General features: G+C 46.5%; 2 long non-coding RNA genes across 3 annotated transcripts in view; one reads left to right on the top strand and one right to left on the bottom strand.

Annotated features, from left to right (window-relative positions):
- LOC105375233 (uncharacterized) overlaps positions 1–11,783 on the top strand; it is a 34,903-nt gene extending 23,120 nt beyond the window's left edge. For both annotated transcript variants that reach the window (NR_187893.1, NR_187894.1), the window contains exons 2-4: positions 5,141–5,343; positions 6,067–6,202; positions 11,382–11,783. This is a non-coding gene — a long non-coding RNA (uncharacterized LOC105375233). The remainder of the gene's footprint in view (positions 1–5,140; positions 5,344–6,066; positions 6,203–11,381) is intronic.
- Positions 2,752–4,015, bottom strand: LOC124901616 (uncharacterized). The gene is made up of 2 exons (XR_007060288.1): positions 3,637–4,015; positions 2,752–2,942 (listed from the first exon to the last, which is right to left on the bottom strand). It is a non-coding gene; the product is annotated as an uncharacterized LOC124901616 (long non-coding RNA).
- Positions 11,784–18,091: the final 6,308 nt, after the last annotated feature.

Below are 18,091 nucleotides of genomic sequence, written 5' to 3' on the forward strand. Positions count from 1 at the left end.
ATTTTTTATTTGTTTGGATTTGTACTTCTTCAATTAGTGCAGAAGCTGAACCTTCTTTTTTTGGCTTATTGGCTATTTATACATTCAGTGCTTTTAAAGCCTATGTATGCCCTTTGTCCATTGGGAGATGTCAGCAATTTTCTCACTGATTTGTAAAAGCCCTTTATAAATCAAAACCATATAGCATATTTGTTACAAATTTTTCCAATCTAAAGTTTGTCCTAAAATTTTGTTAATAGTGTTTTTAGTATTGCAAAGTTTTAAAGTTTTATGTAGTGAGGAGTTAAAATGTTTCCCAAAATAACTAACCAATCATCCCAGCCTCATTTTTTAAACAATATTCTCTTTCTTCACTGAATTAAATGCCACATGTCAGACACTTAGTTCTTCTTTTACTTGGGTTTTTTCCCCCAGTGGTATCTACTTTGTTCCACAGAGTTAAGCATCAAATTCCCTCTTCTATCTTCCTGCATCTTTAGCATGGCTTCATGACACTGTTTAATATTATGTAGAATAAGACCCTTCCATTACTCTAGTTTTTAAAAACTTTCTAGCTATTCAGATTATGATTTTACTTTCTGATGAATTTCAGAGTTATTTAGACAAGTTTTTAAAATCTCACAGGAGTATTAAATGTACGATATATTAATCAGGGGGAAATTGGCTAGCCTAACCATATTCAATTTATCCATTCAGTTACATGGTCTTTCAGTTTATTCACATCTTCTAGGTCCTTTTGAGAATCACTTTGCTTTTTTTCTGCATTTTCTATGTCTCAAATTCACTAGTCAAGTTTTAACTGCCGAATTGAAGCAATAATGTGAGGAAGGAAATGCTCCTGCAAAATAGTCTTTTAACTACATCAATGTGAGCCCCAGATAAGGAGAGAAATGACCCAATGCTCTTGTCAAAGGAAAGGCCATTTGCATCAACAAAAACCATTTAAAAGGGCATTGTGACCAAGTGCGGTGAGCAGGCTTCTGGGAGCCAGACAGGCTAGGGCTCAGTTCCCAGGACCCCCGTTCACTGGAACTGGGATTAACTCCTGTGGGCCTCGGCACCACCACTGTGAAATGAAGGTGGCCACTACAGAATTGAGAGCAGAGCTCATGTGTGTGAAGTATCCAGGATAGCACCTGACATACTTAAGTGCTCAATAAGTCGTTAAATATATGTACATTTCAAATACTGAAAAAGATTAATAAAAATTGATCATACACTAAGCCACAAAGAAATTCTTAATTAATTTCAAAGAAATTATTTTGGCAACATTCTCTGACCACAATGACAGAATACTAGAAGTTAATGATAAAAGTTTGAACAAACAAAAAATCCAAGTGCTTAGAAGTCTTAGAGAAAACAATACATTGCCTACATTTTTTTTATAACACATATACCATATCATTCACCCATTTAAAGTGAATCATTTAATGGCTTTTAGAATATTCACGGAGGTGGGCAACCATCACCACAATCAGTTTTAGAGCATTTTCATCATCCCAGATGAAACGTGGTACCTGGCAGCAGTCAGTCCCTTCCCCATCCACACCCACCTCCGGTCCTAGGCAACCATAGACGTACTTTCTGTCTCTATGAATTTGACTGTTCTGGACATTTCATACAAATGCAATCAGAATTTATGATGCTTAGTGTCTGGCTTCTTTCACTTAGCATGTTTTCAAGCTTTGTCAATGTTGTAGCATATATCAGTCTTTCAGTCATTCGGATTGCTGAATTAAGATTCCATTGTTTGGATATGTCACAATGTATTACCCATTCATGAAACGATGGACATTTGGGTTTTTTCCACTTTTGGGTTTTTTTGAATAACGTGCTATGAACATTTGTGGACAAGCTTTTTTGTGGACATATGTTTCAGTCCGGTTAAATTGTAACTCTAGCTGGGTGAGGTGGCTCACACCTGTAATCCCAGCGCTTTGGGAGGCTGAGGCAGGTAGATTGTTTGAGCTCAGGGGTTCCAGACCAGCCTGCGCAATAAAGTGAGACTCTGTCTCTCAAAAAAATACAAAAATTAGCTGGACGTGGTGGCACCTATAGTCCTAGCTACTCTAGAAATAGCTACTCTAGAAAATATTTGCAAATTACATATCCGATAAGGTGTATCTGATAAAGCTTTTTCTTTCCATTGCAAGGGTAATGGTGAGGTGGGAGGTTGAGGTGGGAAGATTGCTTGAGTGTGGGAGGCAGAGGTTGCAGTGAGCTGAGATCCTGCCACTGCGCTCCAGCCTAGGTGACAGCCAGGCCCTGTGCCAAAAAAAAAAAAAATTGTTTAACTCTATGCTTAACCTTTTCCATTAGCAGTTTCTACCAGCAAAATAAATCTTTTCCACCACCACCAAATATTTTTCCGCATCTTTGTCAACACTTGTTCTTGCTGTCTTTTTAAATTTTAGCCACTCTGTTAGGTGTGATGTGGTATCTCATTGTGGTTTTGATTTTCATGTCCCTGATGGCAAATGGTGTTGAGCATAGTTTCATGTGCTTATTGGCCATATGTTTACCTACCTTGGGGAAATGTCGATTCAGACCCTTTGCTAACGGTTTTAATTGGGTCATTTTTTAAAAAAAATTATTAAGTTGTAAGCGTTTATCAGATATGCCTTATCAGAAATGTAATTTGCAAATATTTTCTCCCATCTTATGGGTTGTCTCTTTACTTTCTTATGGTGTCCTGTGAAGGACACATACACATGTGCTCGCTCTCTCTCTCAAAACTTTTGGACCAAAGAGGGAAGTAAAACTGTGATTTATTAAGCAGCCCCTTGAAGGGTAACAGCACATTTTTGACCACTTTGTATGTTGGTGCCAGCCTGGGGTGCCCCAGGTAGGTGCTCCCTTGGGGTGTCTGCTTCAAGGATGCTGTGAAGGTAGGGCTTCTCCAGCTGGGAAACCATGGAATAGTTGGCAGCTGCTTTGTACGTCTTGAGAGACAAAAGAGAGAAAGCTCAAAATCAAGAGCAGACACTGGATTTGCACTGAAAAGAAATATATCATTTCCTTGAAGAGAGAAATACAAGATGTGAAAAATGGAAGCAAGGAAAGAAGAGATATAAGGAAAGAGAGATTAGAACACCAACTGCTGTAGATCATTTCATGTCCCAATTATCCCCAAGTTCTTCCACCTTCTGGGATCACCAGCTGTTTTAACACCCAAAATAACTCTCACTCTTTTCCCACATAAATGTGTTAAGTCCAGGGCTGTCCCTACTCTGTCTGAGGAGTTCTGGGGCAGAAGGCAAATTGGGGACTCTCTTGCCGAAACCTGTCCCCAGCCCCTCCGTGACCATCTTTGGGCACATTCTTGCCCCCTCTCCATGTTTCTGTGGCCCCTGGCTTGCTCCAGAACATTCCTCCAGCCCTCCCTCGAGTGTGCTTTCCAGGCAGGCACACCACAGGCATTACTGAAGGTTTGGAGGTGTTGGAGGGGGGTTCAGGAACTTGAGTATTTGACATCGCGTCCTTGAGCTCACCTCCCATCTACAGCACGGAGGGTCTCCGGCCACTTCTCCTTCGACCCAGGCCAGCTGCCTCGGTGCTGCCCCCTCTTCCTCCCAAGACCTTTATTCCCTGCCCACCGAAACCCCAGCTTCCCCAGTCCCCAGGCCACCTACTCACCCTCTCTGCAGCATAGCTCCTCAGAAAATGGACGTTGTCTTCCTTTGCCCCAGCCACCTCATTCAAACTGTGTCCTGGGCCTCAACTTCCACAACTGAAAAGGCAGCTAATATCTTTTTATCAAGCAAAGACCTATCCGGAAGTTGCCATCTTTGGCAACACACACACACACACACACACACACACACCCCGGCCAAACCTTCAAAGTTACTACTTCTTTAACTGTTTAAAGTGATGTCGAAGATAGTTTTGGTCAGAGCCTCAGGCCAGAGCACCTGGGCTTTCTCCTCTGAACAAGTTTCTGTCAGTAAAAGTGAAAGAAGAAAGTGTCTGAAATCCCAGCTACTCCGGAGGCTGAGGCAGAAGAATCGCTTGAATCCGGGAGGCGAATGTTGCAATGAGCCGAGATCGTGCCACTGCACTCCAGCCTGGGCGACAGAGCAAGACTCTGTCTCAAAAAAGGAAACAAACAAAAAAAAGAAAGTGAATTGGCCACCTTTTCAGAGCAACCCCGTGGGCCAGGGCTTTTTCCTTCCATCGCAAGGGAAATGGTGAACTTGGCGGGTGGGGTTGGAGGCAGTGGTCCAGATATGTGATGAATGCCTCGAAAAGAAGTGAACATTGCCTCATTTCTTCCTTCTGGAGTGCTGTCCGTAAGAGTTTCCGAGGCCATTGGTAGCTGCAGAACCCCTTTTGAAATAAAATCTTATACAAGCCCCAGTATACAAAGGCAGGTAAAAAGGGAGCTAGATTGGTTTGGGGGACTTTGAGAAATCTTAGCTGATGGATTTTACAATGTTGTTAAAATGCCCAGTGAAGAGAGAAAGGCATGTGAATTCATCTTCCAAAGCCCATGGTGAAATGTGAGACAAAATATCCACTCTAAAAAATTAGCAATCAGGCTGGGTGCAGCATTTCTGTTGGAAGACATTTCTGGAGGCCAAGGTGGGGTGATCACTTGAAGTCAGGAGTTCAAGCCCAGCCCAGCCAACATGGTGAAACCCTGTCTCTACTACAAATACAAAAATTAGCTGAGCACAGTGGTGCATGCCTGTAGTCCCAGCTACTCAGGAGGCTGAGGCAGGAGAATGGCTTGGACCCATGAGGTGGAGGTTGCAGTGAGTGGAGATTGTGCCACTGCACTCCAGCCGGGGTGACAGAGCAAGACGTCTCAAAAAAAAAAAAAAAATTAGCAGTCAGATGGCACTGACTTCTTTTATTGATTTTCCAGAATGCTCTCTTCAAAGCCTACACGTTTTCATCTTTGGGTTCAGTTTTCTTGAGGGCAAAACTAGTGCCTAATTAAGTCTTATTTTTGTGTCTGATTATCTTTAACACCCTTGAAAAGTGTTTGCCAGTTTTCTAGAAAAAAATTGATGACTTGCTCCTCCGCTGGTTCTGCTGACTTGCTGTTTTGGAAGAGATGTTTTTCTTGTTTTTCTTTTCATTGGTGTCAAGGGAGATGGAAACAGTGAGGGCTTTAACCTCTTCTCCTCTTTGCCAGGCTAGGAAGACCCAGTTGAGACAGCGGACACTAGAGCAGCCTGGAAGGGAACACCTGCCTACGAAGCCCCTAGGAGCATGAGGTGTTTCCTCCCACAGCTTCCTGTCCTGCCCAGGGCTAAGAGGACAAGACTGGCAGAAGGACAACCAGCAATGCTGAGGGACTGTGGCTCAAGGCACTGATGTCATTGCCTTGGGTTGCAGGTAAGTGAAACCTACCTCAAATGAGCTTCAGCCACAATGGACCTTTATTGGAAAGCCGTCTTAGAGAGACCCAGGGATACAGGCCTGATTGCCCCCTGTCTCATTTCTCTGTTCTTCTCATTCTCCCACTCTACAGACAGACTCACTGCTTTGTCCTACGTGAGGACAAACCCAGCTGCTTCATAGCCTCTGGGTTTATGTATCTGCTCAAGCTAACCAGCCCAATCTGAGACCAATGCATTAGTCACAATTCCAAGCTCCAAGGAGAATGAATCTGATTGCCTTCATCAGGTTACCTACTGTGGGGAGGTCATTGTCATGTAATAGAAAGGCAGCTCCCAGGAGATTATTGAGGGCTGAAAATATACCCCTAAAGGTATCTATTATCAGATTGAGCATGTCCCTCCAAAATTCTGTGCCTTTGTACAGTAGCTCCCTCTGTTGTGACAGCAGTGTGGCTGTGATGATGGGAGTGGCTCAGACAACAAGAAAAGGTTTTAAGTATTTCCCAAGCCACCAGCATTAGACAGTTGGTTCAGCTCACCAGTTGAAATATCTGGTATGTGTCAGATACCCTCCGAGGCTCTGAAGAGATTGGTGTAACCCAGATACATTTTGGGGCCCCATGTGGCTTAGTTTAGGTATGGAGACACATTTAAAAACACACAGTCCCAAAATAATTAAACTTAATTAAAACTAAATTATAATTTTTCTTTTGCATAGTTTTTCTTTTTTTGAAGGAGTCTAACTCTGTCACCTAGGCTGGAGTGCAGTGGAGCAATTGCGGCTCACTGCAGCCTCAACTTCCTGGGCTCAAGCAATCCTCCCACCTCAGCCTCATGAGTAGCTTGGACTACAGGTAAGTGCCACCTAATTTTTACATTTTTTTGTAGAGATGGGGTCTTATTATGTTGCCCAGGCTGGTCTCCAATTACTAGCCTCAAGTGATCCTCCTGCCTCAGCCTCCCAAAGTGCTGGGACTACAGGCAAGAGCCACCATGCCCGGCCGTCTTGCATCTTTTAAAGACTATTAATGGGGAACAAATTCATAACCCCCCAAACCTTTCCAGCTTCTCTTTTGTCTCTTTTCAGCAGATAGCAGATGCCCCAGAACATCCTACTTGCCCAATTCCCTCCAAACACTTCCTGATGCCTGGCCTGCTTGGCTTCCCTACTGTCTTCCTTCTCTGCTTTTCCCAGGATCTGTCATCTTTCCGCCTGTAGCTTAACTTAGCCTCTCTGGCTGTATCTTACTCTCTTTCCTCCTGCAGTTGAGGTTCTGTTTCCCTCTACCTAGGTTTCCACAGACATTTTCTATCTTGCCCAGTATAGACTAAACTCTTTTTTAGAGGGTAGGAAAGAGGGAAAATCTGAGTAGACAAAGGGAAAATTATGTTGAGCTGGTTGGGGGTAAGAGGAGGGAGAGAACACTCACTTGTGGACAAATCACGTGTCCCTCATACAGAGATGAATGAGGCCAAGTACTGGCCCACAATGTGCTCCCTATTTAGTAAAGGAGCCTGACACAAACACAGATCAAAGTCCAGCACACCTCTCCTTGGCGTAGGGGCGTGCATCAGAGAAAGCCACACACCTGTTTGAGGGGTGCATCAAACAGGGTAGGAGTGTTGAGACCAGCTAAAGCACAATGACAGGTAGGGTTATTGTTTCTGACTTACAGATGAGGTAAATGAGCTCAAAGGTGATCTACAGCTTCCCCCACTATGATACCCCAAGTCATAAGTGGTATCAGTAGGACTAGAGCCCTTCTCTGTCTGACTTTAAGATCAAATTTTTTTTTTTTTTTGAGATGGAGTTTCGCTCTTGGCCAGGCTGGAGTGCAGTGGCACAATCTTGGCTCACTGCATCCACCTCCCCAGTTCAAGTGATTCTCATGCCTCAGTCTCCTGAGTAGCTGGGACTACAGGCATGTGCCACCATGCCCGGCTAATTTTTTTTGTATTTTTAGTAGAGACAGAGTTTCACCATGTTGGCCAAGCTGGTCTTGAACTCCTGACCTCAGGTGTTCCACCCACCTTGGCCTCCCAAAGTGCTGGGATTACAGGAGTGAGCCACCACGCCCAGCTGAGAACCAAACTTTTAATCACTGCACCATACCACTGTCCTAACTGAGACCTCCCTTTCTCCAAATTTTACCACTTGTTTGGATGTTGGATCTCAGACCACAGAACCCACTGAACCTCTCAATGGTGTGTGGTGAGAAATGACTGGACAGTTGGGCACAGTGGCTCACCCCTGTAATTCCAGCTACTCGGGAGGCCAAGGTGGGAGGATCACTGAGCCCGAGGGTTCAAGGCTGCAGAGTGAGCTATGATGTGCAGCTGCACTACCGCTTGGGCAACAGAGCAAGACCCTGTTTTCAAAAAAAGAAAGAGAAAAATGACTGGACTCCTCATCCCGTTATAATGTTATTTTCCATCTCACAAATACACAAGTGACAAAATAAGCAAAGAAGTTATCTTTCTTTCCCAAGGAACTAAACTAAGATTGGAAAGAAATTTATGGTGTCTTGCAAAGGAAGCCCTGCTCTCTCTTCTTACAGGCGATTGTCAGCACTGTTGCCCGGGTGCTGTTCTGCCCACTGTTTGGAGACTTTCCACCCTCGTGACTGCCTAGAGAGAGCCCTTCTCTGAGCTGAGCTGCTGAACATTCTGGAAGACGTGTGCTCTGATGAGTGGAGAAAGTGGAGTAGGGCAAATTGCATTCTAGGTGGAGCTGTCAAAAGGCATCCATCCATTCATATGTTTATTCATGGTCCCTTTGGGTTCTCAGATTTTTCAGATCAGCTGCTTGGCAGCTTGCACTTTGATGTTGCAGTGGAGGCTCTGTTCAGGCTTCTGCCCCATAAGAAAAATCAAAGCTTCATTCCCTGCCGATGCATTGACTGGGACATCATCCAGGTCCCTGGGGCAGGAATGTTATTAGACACTCAATAAATATTTGTTGAATCTTGAATGAATTTACCTCCTGAAACCTGCTCAGAGACAGTGAATGGACAGAGGGACGTGAAAAACACAATGCCCTTCTCTTCTCCCAGGAGATTGATTTGGTTATTATGTTAGAAATAGACATGCAAATTAGCATATGCTCAGCACTGAATGGAAATTCATCCCTTAACCTAAATAAAATTTAACAAACTCCATAACTCTTCTTACTATCCCTGGATTAGGTTTCTGGGATTTTAAAATAATACACCTACAAAATTGAAAGCCAGAAAAACTCCAAAGTGATATAAGATCCATCTAAACAAGGAATAGATACAACCTTGACCCTCAAGGGCTGTGAGTGAGGATCACAAAGCCAGGCTGGAGATGAGAAACATGAAACATTCCCCAGAGACTGTCACAAAGTCCCATGGCAGTTCAGAGGAATGAGATCACTTTGGCCAGTGGTAGTAAGTGAAGTATTTGTGCAAAGGGTGGGCATTCATTCATTCTTTTTCTTTCTAGAAATATTTCTGGCCTGGTGTGGTGGTGCACACCTGTAGTCTGAGCTACTCAGGAGGCTGAGGCAGGAGGATCACTTGAGCCCAGGAGGTCAAGGCTGCAGTGGGCTGTGATTGTGCCACTGCACTCCAGCCTGGGCCACAGCGTAAGACCCTGTTGAAAAATGGAAGGAAGGAAGGAAGGAAAGAAAGAAGGAAGGAAGGAAGGATAAAAGAGGAAAGAGAAAGAAGGAAGGAAGGAAAAGAGAGAGAAGAATGGAAGGAAGGAAAAGAAAGATTTCTGAACACCACCCCAGCTAGGCATTGCACATAGTGGGGAGAGTAATACACAGTTCTTGCCTCTAGGGAGCCCACAGTATTGGAAGGGCAAGGAAGTTGGCCAGTACCTATGGTACTAGTTGATGCTGTTGTGTGTAACATGCAGTGGGCACCTAATGAGGGTATAAGGGAAGCCGATTGAGTTAGCTAGACCATAGGGGAGGCTTCCTGGAGGAAGTGTCTCTGGAAATCAGTCTTGAAGAATGAGGCAAAGACAGTGAAGGATAATTCCAGGCAGAAAGAACAGCATCAAGGGGCATCAACTTCAGGGAGCAGAAACATTTGACTTTGCTCCAGTGAAAGTTTCCGATGGGGAAGAGCTCTGAGTTGGGACCAAGAGCAGTGAGTGTAGGTCACAAGGGCTTTGTAGGCTTTGCTGGAGGATCCACTTCAGACAGAGGTAGGGGCAAGGGGTCCTGTGAAGACACCTGATGTGAAGGGAAGCCTGAAACACTACTTGGTTTGGGAGAGGAAAGAAATGAGATAGACAAAGAGACCTGTGGGTATTCTGGGTGTCGGCAAGAGGCTGAGGGAGGAATTTCCCATGTGTCTGTGGCACATACATAGGCTGTGGCAGCTGGAAGTGGTAGTGACTAATGCTGGATGCCAAGGGCTGTGAAGAGCTGAGATGGTCCCTCCTTGTAAGCTAATGAGTTGGCCTGCCTTGGTGCATGGGGCTGCGAGATGAGAGACTCCTGAGTCAGGGACTAATGATGGCCTTACTCACAGCAAGAGCAGAAGCCAGAGTGTCAGCATGATCACCTTGGCTCCCTGAGCTCCAAGGCCATCAGCGGTGATGCAGGCAGGTCTAGACGGGAGCCCACCCCCCCCCCCACAGTGGGCTACACCTAAGAGAGGACACAGGGCCAGGGGAACCAACTGCCCACAGCAGCCTGCTCATTGTCTGGGGAAGGGACACTGTCTCATCTCCCAAAGGTGCTTGTTCCAACACAACCTTGAGAAATGGCCAGATAAAGAGACATCAGAGCTTGACAAGCTGTATGGGAGAGGGAGAGACCATGGGAGAAGCGTCTCCCAACATTAGGAAGAAAGTCGTCTTAGTCAGTTTGGGCTCTGTCACAAATTCCCATAGACTGGGTGGCTTAAACAACAATTAAATTGTCACAGTTTTGGAAGCTGGACAATTCAAGATGAGAATGCAATTCTAAAACCTTCTATATCCTGGCCGGGCGCAGTGGTTTGCACCTGTAATCCCAGCACTTTGGGAGGCCGAGGCAGGTGAATCGCTTGAAGCCAGGAGTTTGAGACCAGCCTGGCCAACATAGTAAAACCCTGTCTCTACCAGAAATACTAAAATTAGCCAGGCTTGTGGCGAATGCCTGTAATCCCAGCTACTCGGGAGGCTGAGGCACAAGAATCGCTTGAACCCGAGAGGCAAAGGTTGCAGTGAGCCGAAATGGTACCACTGCACTCCAGCCTGGGTGCCAGGGCGAGACTCTGTCTCAAATAACAACAACAAGAACAAAACAAGCCTTCTATGTCTAGTTTCCATGTGGCTGTTCCCGCCAAGTTCTGCCTCTGCCTACTATCCTTGGGGTAAACCTCCACCCGGACAGTGTGCTGGGCCGGGGCACCCACCCTCTGGGAGCTAGGAGTGTGGGCTCAGGGCGCTCAGGGTTGCCCTCCCCTACAGAATTGTCATCAGCCCAGCAGGAATTGGCTCACCCAGGCACACCCACCACCTTCTCCAAAACCCAGAGCTAATGACTGACTGGCACAGGGTACAAAAGCCTGGCCCCTTTGTCTTCTGGTAAAGCCGACACGGTGCTGCGGTTCCTGCTCTGGAGCTCTGTAGGAAGGCTGAAGCTCGGCTCCAGCTGAGACTGCATCCCCTGCCTTCTCCTTCCTCCCTCACTCCCCTGGGCTTGAGAGGACCCCTTCAATAAATCAAGTGCACCGAATGCCTGCCTTGGGCTCTTGGGAATTTCTTGGGACTTGGCCCAGAGTTGACAGTCGCTGAGTTCTTGATCCAGGCTTCCCCGCAGACACTGTCTGTGTGTCTTGGGCTCCATGCTTTTGCTCTGGACCCAGGCCCCCAGATTCCTAGGATGGGAATAGGACCCAGGTTCCTGTTGGAATGAGACAGTTTAGGCAATGCTCAAATCGTGAAGCCCCCTAAGCCCTCACCTGACTCCCCCAGGCAGATGTTTGTAGCTCGCTGTCACCTGTCCTATCCTGTGAAGTGACTGCTCTGGGATTGACTTACTGCTCCTCTCTCTCATTTGGCCTTGAGTGCCCGAGGGGCAAAACTGCAGCAGAGTGGCTCCTGTATCCTCAGCACTCAACATGGACCCCGTTGTTGGTGTTCAAGAAACATTTGAGGAGCTGCACTTACTTGGAATGAGAAAAAGTTACACCCATGACCTCCAGGTAAAGCAGACAGCAAATGGCATAAGTGAAGGGCCCTGCAGCAGCCACAGACACAGGCCTGGGGAAATAGAGGATCCCAGATGGAAGAGCTGCCACTTACTGGGCACCGCCCTGTGCCAAACCCAACACCGTGTGCACTCTGTAGACTCTCATTGAATCCCTAAATCCTTCCGTGGTATGGATTATTATCTCCATTTTACTAATGAGGCCATTAAAGCTCAGAAGATTAAGTAACGTGACCAGTATAAAGTACAAGAAAATGACAGATTCCGATTTTTTTTTTTTTTTTTGAGACAGGGTCTCTCTCTCTCTCTCTCTCTCTTTCTCTCTCTGTTGCCCAGGCTGGAGTGCAGTGATCCAATCACAGCTCACTGTAGCCTTGACCTCTAGGTTCAAGCAATCCACCCCCACTCAGCCTCCCACATAGCTAGGACCATAGGTGTGCACCACCATGCCCAGCTCCTTTTCTTTTTTTTTTCTTTGGTAGAGACGGGGTTCTCACTATGTTGCCTGGCTGATCTTGAACTCCTGGACTCAAGCAATCCTCCCACCTCAGCCTCCCAAAGTGCTGAGATTACAGGCATGAGCCACTGCAGATTCAGATTTTGAGCACTTGTCTAGCTGATTTCAAAGCCTGTCCTCTTTCCACAATCAGGTCTTAAGTCATATCCTGAAGAGTTTGTCATTGCTCTTCCAGGAATCCGATCCCCACTGGACAGGCTGGGAAGGTCTGGGCTGCTAGTGGTGTTGCAGATAGACTCCCAGGCAGCTGATGGAGGTGTGGAATGAAGAGCGTGAGAGATAACAGAAGCAGGCATGGCAGTGCTACCCAGCAGAGCCATGTGACAGAGGCGGGGATGCTGCCGTGGGTTGTCCAGCAAATAGAGATGCCAGGCCTGAGGCTTGATTCTCTCAGACCTTCTGCCTCTGGCAGCAAGACTGCTGGACCCAGAGCTGTGTGACTTTCACCAGGTTCCATTTCTCATCAATGGGGGAGCAGGGTGACTGCACCCAAAGAGTGTCAAGGTTTTCTTCAGTTCTGAAAGTCCCCAGTTCTCAACCAGTGAAAGGTCTGACGTTTCCCATCCCTCTTTGCAAATCCTGGGCTGAAGACCAGGGATCCAAGTCCCTCAGCCCAGCCAAGGCGACAGAAAGCCTGACTTTCCCAGCCCTGAAAAGAGTTGACGGGCTGTTCTCTGGGCTCGCCTCGGCAGCAGCATTGACAAGGGCTGGGAGAGGGAGACTGGCACAGGAGCCTTCTCAAGTTGCTCCACAAAGGGCCTCTTTTTCCCAGGCACAGTGACAAATACTGCCGCTCCCTCTGGCTATAAAGGCCGGGGGTGCGGACAAGGTTCCCATGTCTGAACTCTTAAGAAAGTTGCAAGCAAAGAAAAAAATGTGTACGGGCTTTTGGCTGTGCTTTTTGACTTGATGCCAGATAGCCGGTGGGTTCAAAATTACATCACTATTGACTATCTGAGTTGTTTCTCTGTTTGACCTTCTTGGAAGAATGGTTACCTTGGCAACAGATGGTTATCAGTTCCTCAGCAATTTGTGCCAAGGAACAGTTTCCTGCATGCTGAAAACCAGTGGCTTAAAAGCTGTATCTGGCCGGCCTCACCCTCCCAGGTCTCTGAGCGGATTGTGCAGTAGGGACAGCCCTTGACTTACAATGTTTCCACAGATGATTTTTCAGCTTTATGATGGTGCAAAAGCAGTACATGCTCAGTAGAAATCATACTTCGAGTATCCATACAACCATTCTGTTTTTCACTTTCGGTACAGCGTTGAAGTTACATAAGCTATTCAATATTTTATTAAAGGCCAAGCACAGTGGCTCACGCCTGTAATCCCAGCACTTCGGAAGGCAGAGGCAGGTAGATCACTTGAGGTCAGGAGTTTGAGACCAGCCTGGCCATATGGTGAAACTTCATCTCTACTAAAAATACAAAATTAGCTGGGCGTGGTGGCACATGACTGTAATCCCAGCTACTCAGGAGGCTGAAGGAGGAGAATTGCTTGAACTCAGGAGGAGGAGGTTGAAGTGAGCTGAGATTGCGCCACTGCACTCCAGCCTGGGCAACAGAGTGAGACTCCATCTAAAAAAAGAAAAAAAGGAAAAAATTGCTTTATTATAAAAAGGGCTTTGTGTTAGATAATTTTGCCGAACTGTAGGCAAATGTTTTCTGAGAACGTTTAAGGTAAACTAGGCTAAGCCATGATGTTCGGTAGGTTAGATGGATTAAATGTATTTTTGACTCATCATTTTTATAACTCATGGTGCATTTATTGGGATGTAACCCCGTCATAAACTGAGGAGTATTTGTATTTAGAAATAGAGCTGAGTTTGACAGCCAACTTTGTCTGTTAGGCAGTGGGTGCCAGGCCAGTGGTGCTGGGATTTCCAGTGTCCCCTGCCTCCAGCAGTGGACCCAGCTGAGCCTCTGGGATGCTCTGCCCCTGGCACCGAAGGCTGCTTGGTGCCACAGGAGAATCTGATAGGAGACATCCAGGGCTGCTGAAGTGGCTGGGGTGTCAGAGGCGTTTGAATTAGAGCAACTCCATCTTGAATAAGGACTAGGTAAAATAAGGCTAAGACCTACTGGGCTGCCTTCCCAGACAGTTAAGGCATTCTAAGTCACAGGGTGAGACAGGAGGTCGGCACAAGGTCCAGGTCATAAAGACCTTGCTGATAAAACAGGTTGCAGTAAAGAAGCTGGCTAAAACCCACCAAAACCAAGATGGCAATGAGAGTGACCTCTGGTCGTCCTCACTGCTACACTCCCACCAGCTCCATGACAGTTTACAAATGCCATGGCGATGTCAGGAAGTAACCCTATATGGTCTAAAAAGGGGAGACATGAATAATCCACCCCTTGTTTAGCATATCATCAAGAAATAACCATAAAAATGGGCAACCAGCAGCCCTTAGGGCTGCTCTGTCTATGGAGTAGCCATTCTTTTATTCCTTTACTTAATAAACTTGCTTTCACTTTATGGACTTGCCTCAAGTTCTTTGTTGTGCGAGATCCAAGATCCCTCTCTTGACTGGGTGCGGTGGCTCATGCCTGTAATCCCAGCACTCTGGGGAGGCCGAGGTGGGAGGATCACGAGGTCAGAAGATCGAGACCATCCTGGCTAACACAGTGAAACCCTGTCTCTACTAAAAAATACAAAAAATTAGCCAGGCGTGGTGGCGGGCGCCTGTAATCCCAGCTACTCGGGAGGCTGAGGCAGGAGAATGGCGTGAACCCGGGAGGCGGAGCTTGCAGTGAGCTGAGATCGAGCCACTGCGTTCTAGCACTCCAGCCTGGGCGACAGAGAGAGACTCTGTCTCAAAAAAAAAAAAAAAAAAAGCCCTCTCTTGGGTCTGGATCGGGACTCCTTTCCGGTGACAGGGATGTTCCTTTCCTGACATGTCCGCTCTCCCCTGCTTCCTGCTGTACCGCCCCCTGACTCACCGGATGCTGCACACTGTCCTCTGTGCTGCTTTCGCCAAATGGAGGTCCACTCATCCCAGCATTATTTCTTAAAAATTCCATCTTTACCTCAGTGATTTGAGAGATAATCCATCCTCTTTTGAGGAATAAAACAACAATACTATTAACTGCTAACATTCTTTCCAGCATTTATTGTGCCGAGTGAATTAAAAGCATTGTCTCATTAAATCTTCACAATTCAGTTAGGCAGTTCATATTAGTAACCCCATTTTACAGATGAATAAGCTGAACCTGGACAAGGTAAGTAACGAATCCAATGTGACAGATCTAATGAGATTAAAATACAGAGCTGTCTAGCTCTTTAGAGATAAGAGCCTATCCTGGGAGATAAGCTGTTCTAATCTTAACTTCAATGTGTCTGTATTAAAACTCTTTATTGGCTATGTTGAACTCACAGCTTTGAGGCCGAGTGAATTCTGGCTAAGGTCACATACCGTTGGTCACATGGATTGGGGTGTTTTTGATTGACTCCTCATTCTGAGATGAGAAGAACAGCTCCTCCTTTAGAACAGTGGGCTGTGAACCTCTCAAAGCAGGGCCTGCCTCTCAGCTTCTCTATCCTAGGAGGGTGAACTAGACAAAAACAAGTGATAAAGCATCATGCGTGAAGATGCTATAATGAAAATGAAATTGAGTGCTATGAAGGAGAGTGGCCAGGTGGTCCCTTTAGATGGATGGACAAGGAAGATTTCTCTGAGAAATCTGCATTTAAGCTCAGACCTGAATGACAGGAAGCACCTTGTCATGACAATAGGCCATGGACGTATGTTTTAAAATGTACAGGGGATTGGTTTTCATCAGGCAAAGAAAGGTGATTGACACTGAGATAATTGCGTTGAAAAAGAGTTTATTACTCGGTGTTCCCAAAAGGAGGGGGCAGGCCCTGCCACACAGGGCCACATGGGCAGCACCAGGGTCAGTCAGGAAGCACAAGGAGCTCAGGAGAGTGCGGGCCGAAGCCTTGACTGGGATTTTTGTGGGAAGGAATAGAAGTAGGTTGGTATGCTAACAGAGTTTAGGACTAGATAATTTGAATAATTTCGGCAGGCTCTGGGCTACAGGGGTGGTCCCTAGTTATCCAGTACCTGACTCCCAGGGCAATTTAGGGCAGGGGGAATATTGGCTTGGTCTGTGAGAATTTGACAAAGAGGGTAGTTCTGAGGTATGGGCTCTGGATTGGTTGGTTTGCATATCAAATACATGCTTTAAGGAAAGTTGCTTGCTATCTCTAGGAATTAGCTCACCTTGCAAGGGGCAGTTCCTCCTGGGTCTGCAAGGCCCCCAGATGTCAAAGTTTTATAAAATATCGAAAATAAAAAAACATGATTAATATAGTATATGTGGAGGAAAAGCATCCCAGGCAGAGGAACAAGTAAATTCCAAGGCCCTGAGTCAGGACTGAGTTTGATGCACTGGAAGAATAAAATGAAGGGGAGTGTGGCTGGAGTAGAAAGGACAGGCAATAATGATGGAAAATCAGGGTACCAAGCAGAGTCCGAATCATATAGGGCACTGTGGGCCAGGATATAAAGTTTCTCGTGCAATGGGAAACCTTTGGGTAGTTAAAACAGGAGTGGCATCAGTTTTGTATTCTGTGAATACCACTGTGGAGGGTCTCTAGAGAATGGATGTGCTGGAGCTGGAGTCAGGGAGGCCAGTGAAGAGCCTTTGCCATAGTCCAGGGCAGTGATGGGAGGGCCTGGATTAGGGTGCTAGCAGTGGAGATGGAAAACATGTTTTGAGATTGAGTCAATAGGAATCCTGAAATGCTTAGGTGTAAGGAGTGAGGGAAGGTTAGTGGGTAGAGAATGGTGCCATGGTGCCACATGGGATGGCCTGGAGAAGTGTGTGTAGGGAGGGTGGGAAAATCAATACTTCAGTTTGGACAAGTTAAATTGGATATGCCTAATGGATATCAAGGTGGAAAAGTGAGTAGATAGACATGAATTTGAGCTGAGCTGGAGATACAAATGTGAAAGTCACTGTCAAACTGATGGTATTTAAAGGTATAGATTGGCTGGGCACAATGGTTCACGCCTGTAATGCCAGCCTTTGGGAGGCCAAAGTTGGCAGACCACCCAAGGTCAGGAGTTCGAGACCAGCCTGGCCAACATGGCAAAACCCCGTCTCTACTAAAATTACAAAAAAAAAATTAGCTGGGCATTGTGGTGGGCACCTGTAGTCCTAGCTACTTGGGAGGCTGAGGCAGGAGAATCACTTGAACCTGGGAAGTGGAGGTTGCAGTGAGTCGAGATCACACCACTGCACTCCAGCCTGGGTGACAGAGCAAGACTCTGTCTCAGAAAAAAAAAAAAGAAAAGGCGTAGATTGAATGAGATTATCCAAGAAAGCATGTAGATAAATGACAGCTCAGGAACTGAGCCCTGAAGAGGAAATAAACCTTTAGGAACTCAAATAGAAGACGATTGAGCAAATGGGATGGAGAAGGAGGATCTAGTGAAGGAGCAGGGAGACCACGCAGTGGAGTCAGGGACATTTCAAGGAAAGGGCAGTGTTGACTATCACTGAGAGGTCGCAGAGGAGGACCTTTCAGTAGCAAATGGATTTGCCAACCATCGGTGATCTTGGCAGGAGCTGATTTGGGGACAAGTGGGAACAGAAACCCAAATGGACTGGGCTGAGGAGAGAATGGAAAGGAGAAATGAGGACTAACTATAGTCAATTCTTTCAAGAAATTATGCTGTGAAGGGGAGCTGAGAACTTGGGGGAAGAAACTAAGGGGGTTTGTGAGCAGCAAGAACAAGTTTATCCAAACATTAGAGATACTAGCTTGCCTGGTGTGCCTGGAATGGTCCAGTGGAAAGGGGCAATTGCAGGAGGGAAGTCCTGAGATGGTGAGGGGTGATGGGCTCCAGGGTGGACACAGCACAGCCAGTCGGAGGGGGCAAGGCACAGAGTGTGGTTCAGCTGCAGGAAGGGGGGCCTACTGGGAGACAGGACATGAGGGAATCCCTGTCTGAGCACTTCTGTGTGCTCTGAGAGGCATGGAGCGAGATTGGCAACGAGATGAGGAGAGGGACACAGGTGGCTTCATGGGAGAAGTAGGGCTTGG

Source organism: Homo sapiens, chromosome 7, assembly GCF_000001405.40.
Source record: "Homo sapiens chromosome 7, GRCh38.p14 Primary Assembly".
NCBI classification, from domain to species: Eukaryota; Metazoa; Chordata; class Mammalia; order Primates; family Hominidae; genus Homo; species Homo sapiens.